The sequence below is a fragment of the Homo sapiens genome, chromosome 12 (genome assembly GCF_000001405.40).
Source record: "Homo sapiens chromosome 12, GRCh38.p14 Primary Assembly".
In the NCBI taxonomy this organism is placed as follows: domain Eukaryota; kingdom Metazoa; phylum Chordata; class Mammalia; order Primates; family Hominidae; genus Homo; species Homo sapiens.
The window spans coordinates 68,458,090-68,479,149 of record NC_000012.12 but is presented as its reverse complement, the minus strand read 5'-3'; the positions used below and the strand labels follow the sequence as shown (position 1 = coordinate 68,479,149).

At 40.2% G+C, this 21,060-nt stretch overlaps 1 pseudogene; it reads right to left on the bottom strand.

Annotated features, from left to right (window-relative positions):
• Positions 1-4,228: 4,228 nt before the first annotated feature.
• PSMC6P2 (proteasome 26S subunit, ATPase, 6 pseudogene 2) lies at positions 4,229-5,419 on the bottom strand (annotated as a pseudogene).

Sequence of the window (21,060 nt, the reverse complement as noted above, 5' to 3'; positions counted from 1 at the left end):
GACTCTACTTACATACTAACTCCTCAGACATCTTTGCTAATCACCCACAGAGGCTCTCTCCTAAGTGACTAAGCTTTTCTGAGAAGTGACTTGAATTCTATGAAGAGGCCCTCTGGATTGGTGGAAAAATCATGGAACCTGTTTTAGGGGACTTAAAAAAATCCCCATCCTCAGTTTCCTCATCTGTAAAATGGGTTTCATTTTACTTACCTTTCTTACTTCACAAGATAGTTTGTGAAGGTCAAAGGAGATTACATCAGTGAAAACAGTTTGAAGATTGTAAAATGCAGAAAGAATATAAGATAATATATATTTTCTGCCTCTGTTAATTCACCTGATTCTTTCCCCATCCTATAACAAAACTTGCCTAAGCTTGCCTTCTGGTTTAGAACTTCCTTTTATTTATCCCAATATTTTTCTCACCACAGAAAGAGAAAAAATGTTTGCTGTGTGCTTGGTATGTGCACTGTCTTCATAACAAACTTGTGATGCAGGCACCTTATCAGAATTTTACATACAGGTACTAGTTCGTAGTCATTTGGTAGCTTGTCCAAGGTCATACATGCAGCCAGATCTTGGGTTTAGACTCAATTGTGCCTATCTTATAGGCCATGCATTTTCCATCCACCACACAACCTTTCAAGTTTTAAGGGGTTCCTCTCCATTTTTTTTTTTTTTTTGATCCTGGATTTGGTATAGAAGTTCACCTTGGGCTTGATCACAGCATTTTGATTTTCTAGAGTTTGATCATATTCTTCATCTTCTGTCACTCCAGCCTGAAATGTCCTGCTCTTTATTCTGGCAGTCCTCTCCATTTTCTGGATCTTTATACTTGCTTTTATTTGGATATTTCTTGAGATATAAGAGCTAACGCTACATGTAGTAGTCCAGGTGAGGCACTCCAGCGTTGGGTACCAGGGTAGGATAATGTTTCCAGATGTATTTTCAATACTCAACATGATGTACAGACATCATTTGTTCTTTTGGCTGAAGCAAGGCAATTCCAGCGGAATGTCCTCTGGCATAGCCAGCAACCATGTGGCCAGCCCATTGGGAACATAATGTTTTGAGGTCTCTAAAATCCATTCATTTATTTATTCAACGAATGCTTTAAAATACTTGTGCCAATCTCTATTCTAGTTGCTGTGGATAGGGTAAAATAAAACACGTCAAGTCCCTGTTTTCTTAGAGTGTATTGAGAAGTATGGAAAGACAGTTGATGAATACAAAAATGTATATGACAGGTGGCAAGGGATATGCAGAAAAATGAAACTGGAGAAAGGGAATAAAGGAGGAGTGGGCAGCGGACTTGCTTTTTTAAAATAAGATGGTTAGATATATTCCTGATAAGGTGACATTTGGGCAGAAATTTGAACGAAGCAGAGGTCATCTCACGGAAGAACAGCCCAGGCAGAGAACAGCAAGAGCAAAGGTCTTGGGGAAGCTACTTGCCATGTTTAAGGTTATGCCAGTGTACTTGGATCAAAGTGAGAGTGGAAGGGATTCGGGGAGATGAGGTAAGAGATAAGGCAAGAGCATCAGGATCAAAGAGAGACAGATGATGTATGGTCTTGTAAATTATGGCTAGGACTTTGGGTTTTATCCTGTGTGAAATAGGAAGCCATTATAGTATTATGAGCAAAGAACTGGCCTGATCCAACTGAATATTTTAAGAACTTACTCAGACTGCTTTGTGGTGAGAGGCATGGTGGAGGCAGGGAGGCCAGTTAGACAGCTGTTGTAATAATCCAGGTGAGAGATGATGGTGGCCTGGATCAGGACGATGATGGAGGTAAGGGCAAAATGTGGTTGGATCCTGGATATAGACTGGATAAGAGAGAAAGAGAAAAGCCAATGATAACTCCCAGTTTTCAGCCTGAGAAATTGGACACACTGGGTGAACAGAGTTACCTTTTATTCAGTTGAGGTATACTGTGGGAGGCACATGTTTTGTGTATATGCGTGTGTGTGTATGTTTGTATGTGGGGGTAGGGAATCAGGAGTTCTATTTTATATATTTTAAGTTTATGTCCAAGTAGGGATATCAAATAGGCAGCTAGATATGAGTATGAAGTGTTCAGGGTAGAGGTCAAGGTTGGAGTTCTACATTTGAGATCTTTCAAGTCTTGGGGTGAAATGAGATCACCTAGATAAATAGAGAAGTAGATAAAAAAGAGATCACATGACTGAATCTTGGAGCACTACAACCTACCATTTAGAACTTGAGGAAATAGATAGAACCAGTAAAGCAGTGTAGTTTCTTAGAAAGCTGTTTTGGTGGTTGTGTGGCAGCAGCTACCGTAAATACTGATGTATATATTGGAGAACTGCTTCCAAAGTGGAACAGGATCATTGTGAAAAAGCACAAATAAAGAAAGAGACTTTTTTCTTATCATTGAAAAATCTGGGCCAGGTGCAGTGGCTCAGGCCTATAATACCAGCACTTTGGGAGGCTGGAGCTAGAGGATCGCTTGAGCCCAGGAGTTCAAGACCAGTCTGGGCAACATAGTGAGACCTCGTCTCTATTATTAAAAGAAAAGAAAAGAAAAAAAAATCTGTAGAAGATAGGCCAGTTACTCCCACAAGAGAAAATTAGGTTGAATTAGTTCAGGTTAGGGAAATTTGCTTAACTGACTAGAAAGCAAAGGGATTATATATTCCTGGGAATATAAGCAAGGGATAGAGACAAAGTTCCACAACTCTTGATACCACAGATATGCAAGTTATAAGTACATGCATTTATAAATTCACAAATCAGACTTATATCAGGATATGCATATTAACAGAATCATCTACACAATGCATATAAATACAGTTTGGCCTTCAGAATACTTTTTTTTTTCCAGTGGCAATTGGTGTTAAGTTTCCTAAGTCACACAAAGAGAGATTATTTAACTCGGCAGGGTGCGGTGGCTCACACCTGTAATACCAGCACTTTGGGAGGTCAAGGTGGGTGGATCACTTGAGGCCAGAGTTCGAGACCAGCCTGACCAACATGGCAAAACTCCGCCTCTAAAAAATATACAACAACAACAAAAAATTAGCTGGGTGTGATGGTGTACATCCATAGTCCCAGCTACTTGGGAGGCTGAAGCATGAGAATCACTTGAACCTGGGAGGCAGAGGTTGCAGGTTGCAGTGAGTGCAGATAGTGTCACTGCAGTATACCCTGGGTGACAGACAGAGACTCTGTCTCAAAAAAAAAAAAAAAAAAAGAAAAGAAAGATTATTTAACTCATGATGTAACTCAAGTGTGGGCCTAATTTTTCAATTTCTTATTTTTTAAAAATGCATCACAAGCTGTTTTATTTCAGCGTATGGGAGTGTTTGACAGAGCAACATTTTTGTAAGCAAACCTTGAGAATATATTGCATGAGTGTCCAATCTTTTGGCTTCCCGGGGCCACATTGGAAGAAGAATCGTCTTGGGCCACACATAAAATACACGAACATTGACGATAGCTGATGAGCTACAAAAGAAAAAAATTGCACAAAAAAATCTCATAATGTTTTAAGAAAATTTACGAACTTGCGTTGGGCTGCATTCAAATCTGTCCTGGGCCGCATGTGCCAGCTGTGGGCTGGACAAGCTTGTATTAGAGCATGTTTCTTTCTTCATTGGTACTTACTGGTAGAAGACGAGATATCCAGCAATAAAAGGCAAATGTAAGCATGGTTTCTTTAAGATGCATCACAAGCTGTTTTCTTTCAAGAACGGAAGTGTTTGACAGAGAAACATCTTTGTAAGCAAATCTTGAGAACATGCTATTAGAACATGTTTCTATCTCCATTGGTTCATATTACATGGCTTTACCTATGGAGCTATAAAAGGCAAATGTAAGTATGCTTCCTTTTTTTTTTGGAGAACTGAATCAAACAGATTTTATTCAACTTTTTAGATGAGGAAAACAAATGATACAAAATAAGTCATAAGAAATACTTTCTTATGCCACTATCTCAAACCACTTTCAGTGTTTTACAAAATGCTCACACAGCAAATACAAAAAGCTTCAACACACTCTTCCTTTGCAACTTGCTGCAATAAATGCAACATTAACAAACAACACATTTCTTCTGTATCAATCTTAAAAGTTGAATTACTAATTTTTATGATGTTACTCATAGATATTTTTATTCATATACTTTTAATGACATCATTGCCAATACATACATTATTTTCTTTAACTTTATTTTTACATTAAGCCAACATCTGTCATGCAGCTATCAAAAATCTTAGAGTAAATTACATAGGTTTGTAGTCCAATTTAGACTCTAGCTTGTCAGAATCAGCCACTTTTCTGACTGCTTTCATGAAGTCTTCCTGTACTACAAAATCATGATCAGCACGAATTACGAACATGCCTGCTTCAGTACAAACATTTCTCAGGTCTACTCCATTAAAGCCATCTGAAAGCTTCACAATCGCTTCCTAATCTCTCTCACCATGCTTTGTAATGGGACCTGCATGGATTTTCAGTAGGTCTAATCTTGCTTGTTCATATGGCAAATCAATATGTATGTTTCTATCTAATCTTCCCGGATGCAGCAAAGCAGGATCCAGTGTATCCGGTCTGTTTGTAGTCATGATCATTTTAACTCTGTGCAGAGTATCAAATCCATCCATTTGATTCAGTAACTTCACTGAAGTACTCTGAATCTCTCTGTCAGCTGAAGTACCCTCAGAAAACGGACAACCACCAATAGCATCTATTTCATCCATAAAAATGATGCATGGTTTATGGTTCCTGGGATAATTAAACATTTCTCTGATCAAACAAGCACTTTCACCAATGTACTTGTCTACAATAGAACTAGATACAACCTTTAAGAAATTGTAGTCCAGCTGGCTAGCAACAGCTTGTGCCAAGAGTGTTTTTCCCATACCTGGTGGTCCGTGTAACAAACAGCATTTTGGAGGCATTATTCCTACCCACTGAAATAACTCTGGGTTTGTAAGAGCTAATTCTATCACCTCTCTTAATTCCCAGATCTGTTCCGATAGCCCTCCAATCTCAGAATAAGAAACATTCCAGGGGTCCTCATGAGACATGTTATAAACCAGTGGATCCACCTCTCTTGGCAAATATCTCATGATAGTTAGTGTAGTCATATCCAAAGCGACTCCTGTTCCTGGCTTCAGCTTACTTTTGTCAAGCTGTCGACGACAACCCACAACATATCTTGGTCCATTTGTAGCTTTAACAATGAATTTTGCTTCAGTTAACTGTTGAAGCACTTCACCCACAATCTGCCCAACACTTTGTAGGGCCTTCAGATCATTTTCAGACTTTTCATACTGCTTGGTAAGTTCTTTTAATTGTTCCCTTAACTCGTTAAGACGGCCGTCGATCTTGTGCTCAAGCAGCTTCTTGCGGTAGTCCTGAAGCACCCTACCTCTAGAGTCCGCCATGATGAGAAGCTGCTTCCTTTTTTTAATGATAGATTTAGTGCGTATAAGTGCAGCTTTTTTACATGGATATACTGTGTCGTAGTGAAGTCTCGATTTTTAGCGTAGCCATCACCTGAATAGTGTAAATTGTACCCATTAAGTAATTTCTCATCCCTCACCCCCCTCCCACCCCAATTTTCAATTTCAATCACGTTCTTAAGAGTTTTTTTTCAATTGCAATTCTTGTCTGTGCAACTAACTCATCTGACAGATAGACAATCAAAGCAGTATGTATAAGAAGAGCGAAATATTAACAGATTCTGTAAAAGCAAAGCCTCCTTTTATCCTGTGGACCCTTGCACCACCTCCCTTCCCCTAGTGCTGCATCCCAAATTTGGCCAGCTAGAGGTAGGTCTCCAGTTCCCAAGGGCAAGTAGAGTCAGAGAACAAAGATATTGTTCCCAGTTAAGTTTGAAATGTCTTGATCTTCGCAGAAGACAGATTTAAAGAATAGGTCAGGCATGGTGGCTCACACGTATAATCCCAGCACTTTGGGAGGTCCAGGCAGGCAGATTACCTGAGGTCAGGAGTTGAAGACCAGCCTGGCCAACATGGTGAAACTCCATCTCTATTAAAAATACAAAAAATTAGCCAGGTGTGGTGGCACAAGCCTGTAGTCCCAGCTACTTGGGAGGCTGAGGCATGAGAATCACTTGAACCTGGGAGGTGGAGGTTGCAGTGAACCCAGATCACACCACTGCACCAGCCTGGGCGACAGAGCAAGACTCTGACTGAAAAAAACAAAAAAACAAAAAAACAAAAGAATAATAGCAAAGAGATAGAACTCCTATGGGCTGGGTCATTGGGGGAGAATTGGAGAGGCCAAGACACTGACAGAGTGTTAGAAGTTACTCTCCCCTGCACGCCTACTTCATTTTCTGAAGATATGAATGGGGTGAATGTCATTTCTCCAAACATCACATATACTCAAGCTGCATCCTCTAAGTTCTAGAAAAAGCTCATTGTCTTCTCTGGCTTAGTTTCAGAGAAGCTCTATGATAAGTTTGTCACCAGCGGAACAACCAGGATGTCCAGTTGCCTATTGTGCTGGGGGAGAGTTGGGGCTTTGTGGAAGAAACAGTGGTTGGGAGCCCTGTCTATGGATCACTGTCTTTAGGAGGAAGGCTCTTCTTGCTCCCCTTCCATGTGGTAGTAGGATGGGCTGAGGCTGCCCCTGCTTGGGAGAGGCTGCTGCCCTTGGCAGACCAAGAAAGGATCAGCTGAGCCTTCTTTTGGATGTCTTCATCTTTTCATAGTTTTTTGAAGGGAGCCTTCTTCATGCCCACAAACAGAGATTTAGTACCCGCTTCTTTGTGCTCCAATACTGTCTCCATTACAGGACTTACTGCACCATCCACTTGTCTGTCCCCTACTAGACCTGTGAGCCCTTCGAGAACGAAGACCAAGTTACATTTGTCCTTATATACCACCCCAGGATGGTGCCTAGGTCATGGTAGGCAAGCTATAATTATATGCTGTGTTATAAAGAAAAACAAATGCATTCACTCTCCATGCTGTTGAGTGCTCTGTTACCTGGTTGGAGTAATTGGAATAAGTAGAGGAGAGTGCAGGCCTATGCAATACAATGCGTTCTGTTCAACAGATGTTAAGTAACAATAACTGCAGCCACCTACAGTGTGTCTTCTCATCTTTATTTCTTTTCCTTCAAATAACAGATTGAGGCCTATTTCCCCAGAAAGATGGATAATTGCAAGATTATCCATCTTACAATCTGTTAGCTAGTCCCCTTCTTCCTAAGACTTTTCCTGTCATCACTGTGACTGTAGCCTTGCCTTAAGTACATTTTATAGTTAGTTCCCTCTTTTGGCCACATTGTGTTCTTTGAAATCATGTCTTTGTAAAATGGAACATTTTCTCCTGTAGTGACAAGGTTGTAATTAAAACTAAAGGTTGACCAAAGACTCAGTATCAGATAAAATATAGTCATGATCAATAACATGTGAAAAAGACAAACCTGCAACTACAGTCCTCTAAAACAATTTAAAATAGTAAAATCACACCCCAAGTCCTATATAAAAGTCATAAGCACACATTGGTTATACAAAGATATGTGGAACTATGTAAATGTATGTAAAAACATAAAATTACATCCTACTTTATCATAAATTTTTCCTAAAACTAATACACATTAAGATGATGTTTTTAACACATTAATGAATAACAATTTATTCTGCTTTTAAATTAAAAATGGGGTATTGGAAGATGATTTAGATAGTTCGAGTCTCTTTTTAAAAAAGTCAAGTCTAAGCAAGTTTGAAGTTATGTTCCTTTTGCCCTTTGTAGGTTGTCCTCTTCAAAGTGGAGGCCTTCGAAGTGATTCAAGTGATTCCATAGTTGCACCCAAATTAGTAGGCTCAAGAAATGTTTCTTGTTGTTTATGACAATGATGGTGTTTCTTTCCTCTTCTAAAAAGCTCACCCAATATTTCTAATCTTTTTCTTTCCTTCTCTTTTTCTTTATTTAAAGCTAAAGTCATAGTTGCTCAGTAGAAGACCAAACCAGAGCTAGGCAAGGACATGAAATAGCCTTAAATCCCTCAGGCTCTGCTTCCTTCTGTGAGTGATTCTTCCTTGATTTAATTTTTATTGTAGAAGCAATAAAGCAATTGCTGATTGTGAGCAAACTCCACAAAAAGAACTTCAAAACATCTGGGACAAGATTTCTAAGAGGTCTGGCTGACCCTGCATAAAATTCAGTAAAACAATTCAATCAACATTTATTGAAGGCCTACTGTGTTCCAGGTCTGATGTGGGGCTCAGGAGATGCTGAGGCAAAGGGAACATAACTTCGGCCTTCAAGGAGTGCCTGTGAAGCGTGGGTGTTAGGGAAACTGCACCTAAGTCTAGTTGTGAGAACTTCCTACAGAACGGTAGCAGACTTGGGTCATGTTCTCTGGGGTCTTCTCATCATATGACTACCAGGTTTGTGAATGAAACTGATCTACAATCATGTCTGGTAAGAGGAAGGATATTTAGAAACTGTTATCCAATAAGCCTCTGTGTTTTCTTTCTTTCCTTTTTTTTTGAGACTGAGTCTCACTGTCACCTAGGCTGGAGTGCAGTGGCACGATCTTGGCTCACTGCAACCTCCACCTCCTGGAGCGATTCTCCTGGCTCATCCTCCAGAGTAGCTGGGATTACAGGTGCCCACCACCATGTCCAGCTAATTTTTGTATTTTTAGTAGAGATAGAATTACACTGTGTTGGCCAGGCTTGTCTCGAACTTTAGACTTCAAGAGATCTGCCTGCCTTGGCCTCCCAAAGTGCTGGGATTACAGGCATGAGTCACTGAGCCTGGCCAGCCTCTGTGTTTTCTAGTGAAATTTGAGGATTGGAATTTGCTTCATGTTTAATTAAGAAAACTCTTATAATCCCATTGAAAACATAAGATTATCATAATGTTGGGTAAAGGCTGATAATATAGCCAGATAAAGAAATAAAAGGGTGAAACAGTAATGAGGAAATGAGCCCCTTGGTCTTAAATTTTGGAACGTATTGAGTAATTGTTTAAAGAGAACCAGATTGGCTGGGCGCAGTGGCTCATGCCTGTAATCCAAGCACTTTGGGAGACCAAGGTGGGTGGATCACCTGAGGTCAGGAGTTTGAAATGAGTCTGGCCAACATGGTGAAACCCCCGTCTCTACTAAAAATACAAAAATTAGCCAGATGTGGTGGTGAACACCTGTAATCCCAGCTACTTGGGAGGCTGAGGCAGGAGAATCGCTTGAACCCAGGGGGCAGAGGTTGCAGTGAGCCATGATAGCTCCACTGTGCTCCAGTCTGGGTGACAAGAGCAAAACTCCGTCTCAAACAAACAAACAAACAAACAAACAAACAAAAAAAAAAAAGAAGGAACTAGATTGGATAGCCTAAGCTAGATTTACATAGTTTAACCAATATTCTCCCTCAGTGTTTTTAAGGGTGTTTTTCAGGAGACAGTAAGATGCACACTTCAATGAAAATAATATACATCTGTGTGCATGGTAGTTTTCTGGGAAAAACAACTAGCATCAGGGATAAGATTATTTTCAAATAATGTGTCAAAAAACAAGACATGGAAGCAAAGAATGAGTGAGTGCAATTCACATGTTAATGCTTACATGGAATTCTGTTTGTCTGGAAAGTTGTTGCTGTGTGGCAGACTTATCTGCTTTTTTTGCCTTATAAAATAATTATCAAGTGACTTTTTGATAAGTGTGAATACAATTAGAAACAAGACCCCAAAGATTTTCTATTTCTCTGGAGCTATGTAGCCCTGCATTTGAAACCATTACACTAAGCTTGTTACATATATATTTTTTGCACAGAATACATTTCTAAAAATAGGATATGACCTCAGCAGAAAATTAAGCAAAAACATGTGGTTGTCTTCATAAGCATAATGCTTTAGAAGTCAAAATATATGCAAATAAACCAGAAGGAGTCCTGAGAGCCACCTCCGCCCCTATGTCTCCATTGCAGTCTCTTCCTAACTCTTCTACTGTCCTGCCTCTGCTCCCTCCAGTTCAGCTTGCACATGGCCTCCCAGGTAATTTGAACAGGACCGACCTCTCCCGCACCAACCCCTTCAGTGGCTCCCTTTTGTGCTCAGTAAAGGCCAAACTCTTTAGCATGGCATGTGAGACCTCTGTAATCTGGCCTTTGAGGCTCATCTCCCACCATTATCCAGCACACACATCCCCTATATTCTCATCATACTGCACCCTTCATGGAGCATGCCATGTAAATATCTTTATGCTTTTGCATAGAACATACCTTCTGCCTAAAAAGCAGTTCATATGTCACTTCTGAGAAATCCTTTCTAATTCTTTCAGGAAAGGAATGAGGTCCCTCTCTGCATAAACGATCTCTATACCATCACTTGTCAAAACGCTTTATCATTATTTGTCAAAATGGAATCTTCTTTTTATGTCTCCATTGCTACTAAGACCCCGAAGTTTGAGACTGAAAATATGGGTGCTATGTACTACCATAATTCCAACATGAAATGCTAGACCACAAGGGCTGGGATTCGAAGACCTGTTTTGTGAGATCATTATCTATTTCTGGGACATAAAAGAGTTGAAGAGTCACAGGGAGAGGGATGATTTCTTCCAAGAGCATCGACTATAGGTAGTTTGTTTCTCTCCCTCTACCCACAATGAGGGACTGGAGGAAGAGACTTTCCTTTCTCCTTGAGTCAAGCAAGAGGGCTTCAGCAGGAGCATTCAAGAGAAAAACAGAAGTCTCATGGGGTGTGAGGGCTTCAGTTCTGTGCCTGAGAATATTGAGGTAAAAAGACTGGGGCTGGAGCCACCTGTCTGATGGCAGAGCACAGGGAGACAGACCTTCGCTGGGAATAAGCTGCACTTTCATTCATAAAAGCTGGCAAGACTGCATGAGTGTTTCTCATTGACCAGACATGGACTCACCAACACAGAACAGCCTGGAGCTATTTTTGGACCCTGCCCAAGAGGACAGCCAGAAGACAGGGAACTGTGACTTCAGTAGAGTAGGTATGAATGTGGATGGCTAGGGCCACAGAGAGGAATGAGAAGCCAGAAGACAGGCATTGCCCACATCAAGGGGCTTTTGAGAAGACTCCAGTGGGCGTACCTCTGTGGATCCCACAAAAGCACCCATGATAGGAAGGGTCAGCTCCAACATCCTCTGAGGCCAGAGAGCACCAATGCTCGCAAGAGTGCTTGACAGGAAGAAACCTCTTGCTGTTTCTCTCTGTCTTTCCCAGCTCCAGCCCTGGAAGAGCCACAGTGTGGTGGGTTGTGGGGAACAGAGGAGAAGAGACGCACAGGGGAAGGATATAGAGGAGAAACTGACCACGGCCCTTGTTTCCCATTGCCTTCTCTCCAGCCTGAGGCAGCCCAAGTCAGGGAGCTGAGAAACTTTAACTTTGAGTGACAATTAAATTATTAAACTGAACTGAAATCTTACTGTTCTTGTGACTAACAGATACAAGGACTTTGCACTAAGAGTATTCAAAAGAGTTTATGGAAGCTGCCCAAGATTTCTTCCACTTTCCGTGTAGGGAAGTTCACAGAATGGGATTAGACAACTAGCAGAGAGAAAGACTAGAGTTTCTACCTGCCAAACCCCAACCCTAGTTTGGAGACCTACTTATTCAATGTACCAGTGACATTTGTTTATTAATTTGTTGCCTCTTCATACTGAGAGCTTCTTGGGGATAGAAACTCATATATTATATTCATCTTTATAAACCTTAATGAAGCAGTATCTGCCACATAGAAAATGTTTGTTGAACGAATAAATGAACAAATTAATTGATAAATGGGAGTGATATAGTATCACTGATATAGTATTCAGGGTCCGAAGCTGGGCTTTGCCACTGATTAGTTGTGGGTTCTTTGGCCAATTTCTTAACCGTGAAAGACTTGATTTACTTACCTTTTAAAGTGGCAAGAAAATAGTACTTACCTCATCAGATTTATTTGAGAATTAGTTGTGAGGTACTGTACTGAAAATTCTCAGCACAGTGGCTAGTACACAATGAATGTTCAATAAATGTAAGTTGTAATGTCATTTTGCTGTTGTTAGATTTGGAGTTGCATGGATTACTATGTAATGACCACTCCCCAAACCCAGCTGAGCCTGGTGTCCTTGATCTTGGTAGTATGCCCTTGACCCCAACTAGGCCTGGTGATCTTGATGCCTGGATCTCCCTGTTTCATCTCCTCAAGGAGGAAACTTTGTTTTCTGCTGGGCTGAGGAAGGGCAGTTACTTTGCTCCATTGGGTAGCAAAGAGTTCTGGCTGGTGGACAAACTGCTCTTACATGGACACTCAAATAACCCTCTGCTTTCTAGAGATATCTGGGACCTCTCATTCCCGAGTCTTTCTGGAGTTCTATAGCACAGGTCAGCCATCTTCTAAGCTCCTCCCAAAGCTGTTTCAGCTTCCTTGGCTTTGCTAAATCAGTTATCACCAACACTTCAGCTTCTGATATTTTCTTGTTTTTGCTTCTTCTTTGTCCTTGTGTGTACCTATACCTTTAACAAGGTCTTTTACCGCAATTCGGGCAGAGGGTAGGGGAGATTGGGAAAACGCTACAATAAATATGAGTGTTCAATCTGCCATGGATAGCCTGAAGTATGTGTAACTTTAGTAATACAAAAAAATAAAGGTAGTTGTAAAAAAGAATTTATTTAGAGATATAAAATGTACTTGTCCATATTTTTATACATTTAAAGGTAATAATACAAAGAAATGTGTGCTATTTTGGAAAATAAACCACGTAGAAAATAAACACATCAGTCTTTTGATGAAGTAGCAATCACAAAGAGGCTGAGGTTATTAGAGAAGGCTTCGTGGCAGAGGTAGCAATTTTCCTGGGCTCTGAATAATGGGTAGAATTTGGTTTTATTAAGGATAGGAAATGGGTCTATAACTCATTTATACATTAGCAGTCATGTATAATTCAGGGTTTTATCTACTGTAGTAGCATTGCCTTGAGCTTCTCAACATGCCTTTTCTTTGTTATCCTTCCTTTTGATAAGAGACAAATCCTCATTCTTGGAGAATAAAGCCAGCTCAACAGAGGGAAGCAGAGCTTGAAGACAGAGAACAGATGACAATACCCCAGCCAAAGCCAGAATGCCCTTTGGCTTCCAATGTGCAAGAGCCAGTAACTTACCCTTCTTCCCTCCCCCTTTTCTTTTTGCTTAAGCTAGTTTTAGTTGGATTTCAGTCATTTGCATCACAAAGAGTCCCAAATAATATGACAGGGTAATGAGACTATATTTAACTTGAAATTTTCTTATTATTTATTTATTTATTGAGATGGAGTCTCACTCTGTCGCTCAGGTTGGAGTGCAGTGGCACGATCTTGGCTCACTGCAGCCTCCGCCTCCTGGGTTTAAGCAATTCTCCCAGCTCAGCTCTCCAAGTAGCTAGGAGGCGAGTACCACCATGCTCAGCTAATTTTTGTATTTTTAGTAGAGACAGGGTTTCACTATGTTGGCCAGGCTGGTGTCAAACTCCTGACCTCAAGTGATCCGCCTGCCTCGGCCTCCCAAAGTACTGGGATTACAGGCATAAGCCACAGCGCCTGGCCTTAACTTGGATTTTACAAGAACACAGTGGACAGAGCTAGAACTCAATTTATAGTCTAACTTAAAATTACAACTTGCAGATTGTTTCTCATTACATTTATTGCTGGTAGATAATTCTTATTCTTTGACTCAAGGCAGAATGGGAACAGACTTGTGTCTGCATTTTTCCCTTTGGAGCTTGTTATTTTTCTCATAACAGATGAATTATTTGTAAGCAAAAATTAAAGATAAAAATCATCTTAAAAATATGTGGTGAGCATGTCCCTAGAGTTATGAGAGTTGCAGAGTAATTCATCTGCAGAGTGCTGCTGGAAGGCAGAGCCCACCAATTCCCCACAGTTCAGCGTTAAGGGAACTGATCCTTTAATGCTTATAAATCAGAAGTTTTTGCTGCAGCAACCAGGGGAAACATAGCAAATCATTAGGTGACATGGCAAATAACTTAATTATAGATAATTAGTAAATAACTACACACTATGGGTCTACTACTGTTTTCAGTGCTGTTTATGTATTACTAAAAACCCAAGGATGAAGTACTGTTACTGTCATCATCCCCATTTGCCGGATGAGAAAACTGAAGCACAAAGTTAAGCCAGGATAGGCCCTCTGGTAGTCTGATGCCAGCATGACATGCTCTTGATCATTGCACTACACTGCTCTAGGTTTTAGTCAATTTACAGAATTTTAAGTGTATATGCTCTAGGTTTTAGTCAACTTCCAGAACTTTAAATGTATAAAAATATGGACATGTGCATTTTATGTCTCCTTTGTTGTATAGCAAGTCTCAGGTCTACACTGACAAACCAAGAGATTGGGGTTTAAGTCAAAAGACAGTATTACTCAAATAATCAGGAAAAGGGGGAAAATCAATTTCTGCCTGAAATGCGTTCCTCTATTTGTTTTAGTGGTAGCCACATGAATTTTCTTAGTTAGATTTTAAATATTGTTACTACAAGTCTGGGAGTGGTGGCTCAAACCTGTTATCCCAGCACTTTGGGAGACTGAGGCAGGTGGATCACTTGAGGTCAGGAGTTCAAGACCAGCTTGGCCAACATGGTGAAACTCTGTCTCTACTAAAAATACAAAAATTAGCCAGGCATGGTGGCGCATGCCTATAGTCCCAGCTACTCGGGGGGCTGAGGCAGTAGAATTGCTTGAACCTGGGAGGCAGAGGTTGCAGTGAGCTGGGATCGTTAATAATTTGTGAAGTCATTGTAGTACAATAAGAAAGATATTTGGTGAGCTCCTAAAACTTCTGGAATTTCCTGAGTGAGGAGGGTGATAAGAGCATCTTTTGTTCTAATGAGGTGACTTTGGGAGGCCCATAGTTTCAGGATGGGAGCTGGTCCCCAGAAAGACCAAGCCTTGTTTAGAAGCCCGGAACTTTTTTAGCCTTACCTCCCAACCTCCAGGGAGAGGAGAGAGGCTGGAGATTGAGTTAATCACCTATGGCTGCAATCACACCTATGTAATAAGATATCCATAGAAACCTCTAATGATGGGGTTTGGTAAGCATGTTGAGGTGCTGGGAGGATAGCGTACCCTGAAAGGGCATGGAATCTCTGTGTCCTTCCCTTCCCCCATACCTTGCCCTAAGCATCTCTTCCATCTGGCTATTCCTGAGTGGTACCTTTTACAATAAACTGGTAACAATAAGTAAAGCATTTTTCTGGGTACTGAGAGTCATTTTAGCAAATTATTGAATCTAAGTGGGGGGGTCAGGGGAACCCCTGAATTTATAGTCAGTCTAGCAGAAATGTGGGTAGCCTGGGCATTCACTGAGAGCTGGCATCTGAAGGGAGGACAGTCTTATGGGACTGAGCCCTTAACCTGTGGTATCTGGCGCTAACTCTGGGAGTCAGTGTCAGAATTGAATTGAATTGAATTGTTGGAAAAGACACCACATATTTGGTTTCTGGTGGAAAGAAACCCCACTCATTTGGTGTCAGAAAACATGGGATTTGCTAGAACAGCCCTTACTAATATTTAGTTTGGGAAGAGAAAGGATGAAAGGGCGGGAATGAGGAAAACTTTGATCCCTAGATGGCTACCTAGTCACCCATAGTATGAAACTGCAGTCTCGTTGTGATCAGTTACTAAAGGTAAAAGTTAGGCCGGGCATGGTGGCTCATGCCTGTAATCCCAGCACTTTGGGAGGCCGAGGCGGGCACATCACCTGAGGTCGAAAGTTCGAGACCAGCCTGGTCAACATGGTAAAACCCTGTCTCTACTAAAAATACAAAAATTAGCTGGACATGGTGGTATGCGCCTGTAATCCCAGTTACTCGGGAGGCTGAGGCAGGAGAATCTCTTGAACCCAGGAGATGGAGGTTGCGGTGAGCCAAGATTGAGCCACTGCACTCCAGCCTGGGCAACAAGAGTGAAACTCCGTCACAAAAAAAAAAAAAAAAAATACTAAAGGTAAAAGTTACTGGTGGAATTTTGAAATGGTGGTAGACTTTAATTCCAAGGAGTTGGCAATTGGATTTGTAAGACAATGCAAAATAATAACAAGCATCCTAAATCTACAATCTCTTGGTTATTGTTATTTGTAATAGCTAAAACGAAAGTAAAAGTGTGAGTGCTGGGTCGGACTTTGATGGTGGAGTAGGCTCAGATTTTGGTTGGTCTGAGCTTCAGTTACTAGCCTCAAAACCACCCCTAAAGGGGAAACTTAAGCTGAGAAAGTAACTCTAAATCCTCTGGTCACCAAGAAGGTAGACCACATGGGGGAAAGACAAAACCAAAAAACGACTTAAGCCAATGGTATGGCGTGAAGGAGTTGTCTCATTTTGTGGATCAGTTGTCATCAGCTTCCCAAAAAACCTTTACTAAAATGGATTGTGAGAGTGACAAATTTAAGGGCAGTTTTTTGGTTTTAAATGCTGCAGAGTGCAAGAGCAAGTTTGGTTAATACAGGACCTGCAGCTGACTGTGGAACAATTGCAGATGGCGAGACATCATCCAGACACACAGGAGGTTATTCTTGAGAAAACCGGCATCCTGGTGGTCTGGATAAAAGCCACTGTAAGGTGTAATTACCCAAAGATGGGGGACTGTTCAACTCTCTCTACAAAGGCCAGGCAGAACACCCAAGATGAAGCAGCTGATGTTCTGTAGGCAAGCTATGTCGGATTGACTTTATGATGACCAAGATATTCATCTGGGAATCTGCCTGTTACCCAGGACATGGTAAATACTGTGAGTAAGGGGACCCTTCTTACATGGGCACCCCACGTAATCCTACTGCTGCAAAACTGAACAACGGTTTGAGTAGAACAAGTGTCTGGCGCCTAATGTGTGCTCTCAAATTGGTTTGAATCTTAGATACTTGTTCCAGATCCTGGTAGCAATGAACAAAACAGACAATTCATGGTCCCCATGGAGCTAATACTTTGATGTTCTATTACAGAAATGGACATGGGATGGAGACACCTGACATATTCAGAGAACTAGAGGCTCCTTCATTGCCAAAGGAATCTTGGGAATTTACAGCCGTAATTCTGTATTGTAATTATGGACAGAGCTTTATATCGGGTGGAGGTCAGTAGGACTGTTGGAATGCCAAAGTTGGCTCCCTGAGTTTGTCTTTGGGCTATTGGGACATCCGTGCCACACTTTAGAAAATCTGACGATAATTTATTTTTATTTAAAAATTTATCTTACAAGTATTTCATCTGTTATGAGAGCAAAACTCATTCCAGAGGGGAAAATGCACACATTCCTGTACTCCATGTCCGAGAAGGCAAAGTGAATGCTTTCTGCTGCCAATATGCTTAATTAGGGTAGACAAGGGAGACAGTACCACTTAAAATTATGTTTTTGTAAAGTCACATAAGGAAATGGACATAATATTGAGTGGTCAGAAATCTATGTTCTAGAAATTTACAAAAGTGCACTGGGTCTGTTTTATAAGAAGAGGAATTAAAAGAAACATGAGTGGGAGTTAAGTATTATTATAAAATGTTCTGTAGATTTAATAATGTAGTTCTTTAAAATTTGTCATTCCTGCACAGCAGGGAGATAAGACAATTATTTTTGGCGCTTTATGAGCATTGTTTAAATTATTCAGTATTCTCTTTTATGGCTAAATTCCTGAAGTAAAAATATATCAGAAAATTAATGTACTTTTATTTATACAATAACAATACCTTATAACTAAGTATGAGCTGATCACACTTAGGTGCTCTTTCATCAAATACTCCCAATGCTTTGAAATATAAATTATAATTGATATCACTTTAGGTATGAGAAAATTATGGTTCAAGAAGGTTTTATGATTTTCCCAAGATGCAAGTTGTGTCGTTGGGACCAGAACTTTGGAATTCTGACTAGAGATTTTGAGCTGGATAGATGTAGTGATCAAGAGAATGAGCGCTAATGTCAGTTGGATCTGGGGTTGTTCCCCAGCTGTATCCTTACTAATTACTTAGCCTCTCAATCCTCCACTTCCCTCTTCTGAAAATGGTGATAATATGACCTACCTCATAGCCTGGTAGTGAGGATTAAATGAGATAATTACTAAATGTGAAGTGCTTACTTGGCACATAGTATATATATGTTCAGTTAAGTATTGCAAATATTACTGATAAAGAATAAAGTGGAAAATAAAAATAATGACTTAATATTGTCTTCTTATTTGGAAGAAAACAATAGATTAAAACAGTGGAGGCCAGGCATGGTGGCTCATACTTGTAATCCCAGTACTTTGGGAGGCCAAGGCAGGAGGATCGCTCGATTCCAGGAGTTTGAGACCAGCCTGGGCAACATAGTTGAGAGCACGTCTCTACCAAAAAAAATAAAAATAAAAATAAAAATTAACCAGGTGTGGTGGTGTGTATCTGTAGTCCCAGCTACCCAGCTACTGGAGGTGGGAGAGGCCCAAGAAGGAAGGATTGCTTGAGCCCAGAAGGTTGAGGCTGCAGTGAGCCATGATGGAGCCACTGCATTCCAGCCTGGGTGACAAGAATGAGATCTTGCCTCAAAAACAAACAAACAACAGCAACAACAACAACAAAAGCCTAAAAAGCAAAAGAACAGTGATTCTCAACTGGAGGCAATTTAGTCCCCCACCCCCATAGGACATTTGATAATGTCTGTAAACATTTTTGGTTGTTACAAATGGAAAGGTGCTACTGGTGTCTAGCTGGTAGAGGCCAAAGCTGTCAGAAAACATCCTACAATGCACAGGGCGGGCCCCACAACAAAGAATTATCTGGTCCAAGTGTCAGCAGTGCTGAGGTTGAGAAGCCCTGCATTAAAACAACAAGAATTCATTGAGTATACTTAAAAAAATGTATTTGTTTTTGTTTTTTGATAGAGATGGGGCCTTGCTATGTTGCTCAAGCTGGTCTTGAACTCCTGGTCTTAAGCAGTCCTCCCTCCTTGGCCTCCTAAAGTGCTGGGATTATAAGCATGGGCCTCCATACCCAGCCCTTATTGAGTATACTTTTAATGAGCCAAGTAAACATCACTTCTCTAAGCACAGAAGAATTTGAAAATAGGAGATAATATATTATCTTTGCGAGTGTAGGACACAAAAATTAGTGTAAGGAAATGACATAGTTTATGTTGGACATATGAATAGAATGATAATCTAGAGTTTTTGATAAGAAAGAAAAGTTACCCATTAAGTTCTTTGTGGCTAAGAAGTGACAGTTTTCAAAACTGACAATTCATAGTTTATTTTAAAAAAATAAATTTTCATGTGATAGGATCACTTAAATTCATCAGCAAATGGCCTCCTTCGCTAGCTTTCCATCATTCATTGAATACTTTTCAATAGCCAGGGCTTTAGTAACACCAGTAAGATGTGATTTGATGAAAATAAGTTATAGAAATTTGCATTTAAGTGAGGGCTGGATGTGGTGGCTCACGCCTGTAATCCAGCACTTTGGGAGGCCTAGGTGGGTGTATCACTTGAGGTCAGGAGTTTGAGACCAGCTTTGCCAACATGGTGAAACCCCGTCTCTACTAAAAATACAAAAATTAGCTGGGTGTGGTGGCACATGCCTGTAATCCCAACTACTCAGGAGGCTGAGGCAAGAGAATCACTTGAACCTGGGAGGTGGAGGTTGCAGTGAACCGAGATCGCACCACTGCACTCCAGCCTGAGAAACAGAGGGAGACTGTGTCTCAAAAAAAAAAAAAAAAAAAAAAAAAAAAGAAATTAACTAAGTAACTAAGTAACTAAGTGGGAAATTAACTAAGTAAGAAAGTAACTAATTGGGAAACAATGTAATTTAGATGTATTAGTATTAAGACCAAAATGCACTATTCTCCTACTTAGAAATCAGGAGACCCAGTACTTTTCACAGTGATCTTAACTTCCCTTAATTTGAATATCTTAAAACTAATTATATTATGAAAATGGAATCCCACATACCAATTCACTTAGAGGTATTGATCATGATGAACTAATTTCTGTAGATTTATAATCTGAATAATTTATTATTATGCAATATACCCCACATTAATGGCTTCTACAAAGTAAAAGCAAAAAACTAATCTTTCACCAACTTCTAATCATGTTTGAAGAACTTCCTGTATATATGTCAAAATCAGTCACCACAGAGCCCAGAGATATCAGATTATATAATGTGCTGGTGTAGAGAGCAGATATAAAGGGGTATTTTTTTAATTTTTAATTTTCGTGGGTACGTAGTAGATGTATATATTTGTAGGGCATATGAGATGTTTTGATACAGGCAGGCAGTATTATAATGATCACTTCATGGAAAATGGGGTATCTGTCTCCTCAAGTATTTATCCTTTGCATTACAAACGATCCAATTATACTCTTTTAGTTATTTTAAAGTGTACAATTAAATTATTATTATATACTATAGTCACCCTATTGTGCTGTCACATAGTAGGTCTTATTCATTCTTTTTTTGTACCCATTAAGCACCCCCACCTTCCCTCCCACCCCCCAACTACCCTTCCCAGCCTCTGGTGACCGTTCTTCTACTTTCTATCTCTAGGAGTTCAATTGTTTTTATTTTAGATCCCACACGTGAGAACGTGTGATGTTTGTCTTTCTGTGCCTGCCTTATTTCACTTATCATAATCATCTCCAGTTCCATCCATGTTGTTGCAAATGACAGGATTTCATTCTTTTTTTACAGCTGAATAGTATTCCACTGCGTATAAGTACCACATTTTCTTTATCCATTCATGTGTTGACGGACACTTAGGTTGGTTCCAAGTCTTGGCTATTGTGAATAGTGCTGCAATAAACATGGGAGTGCAGGTATCTCTTTGTTATACTGACTTCCTTTCTTTTTGGGAATATGCCCAGTAGTGGGATTGCTGGATTATATAATAGCTTTAGTTTTAGTTTTGAGGAACCTCCAAATCTCCATGGTATTTGTACTAATTTACATTCCCACAAACAGTGTATGAGGGTTCCCTTTTCTCCACATTCTTGCCAGCATTTGTTACTGCCTGTTGTTTGGATAAAAACCATTTTAACTGGAGTGAAATGATATCTCATTGTAGTTTTTTGTTGTTGTTGTTGAGACAGAG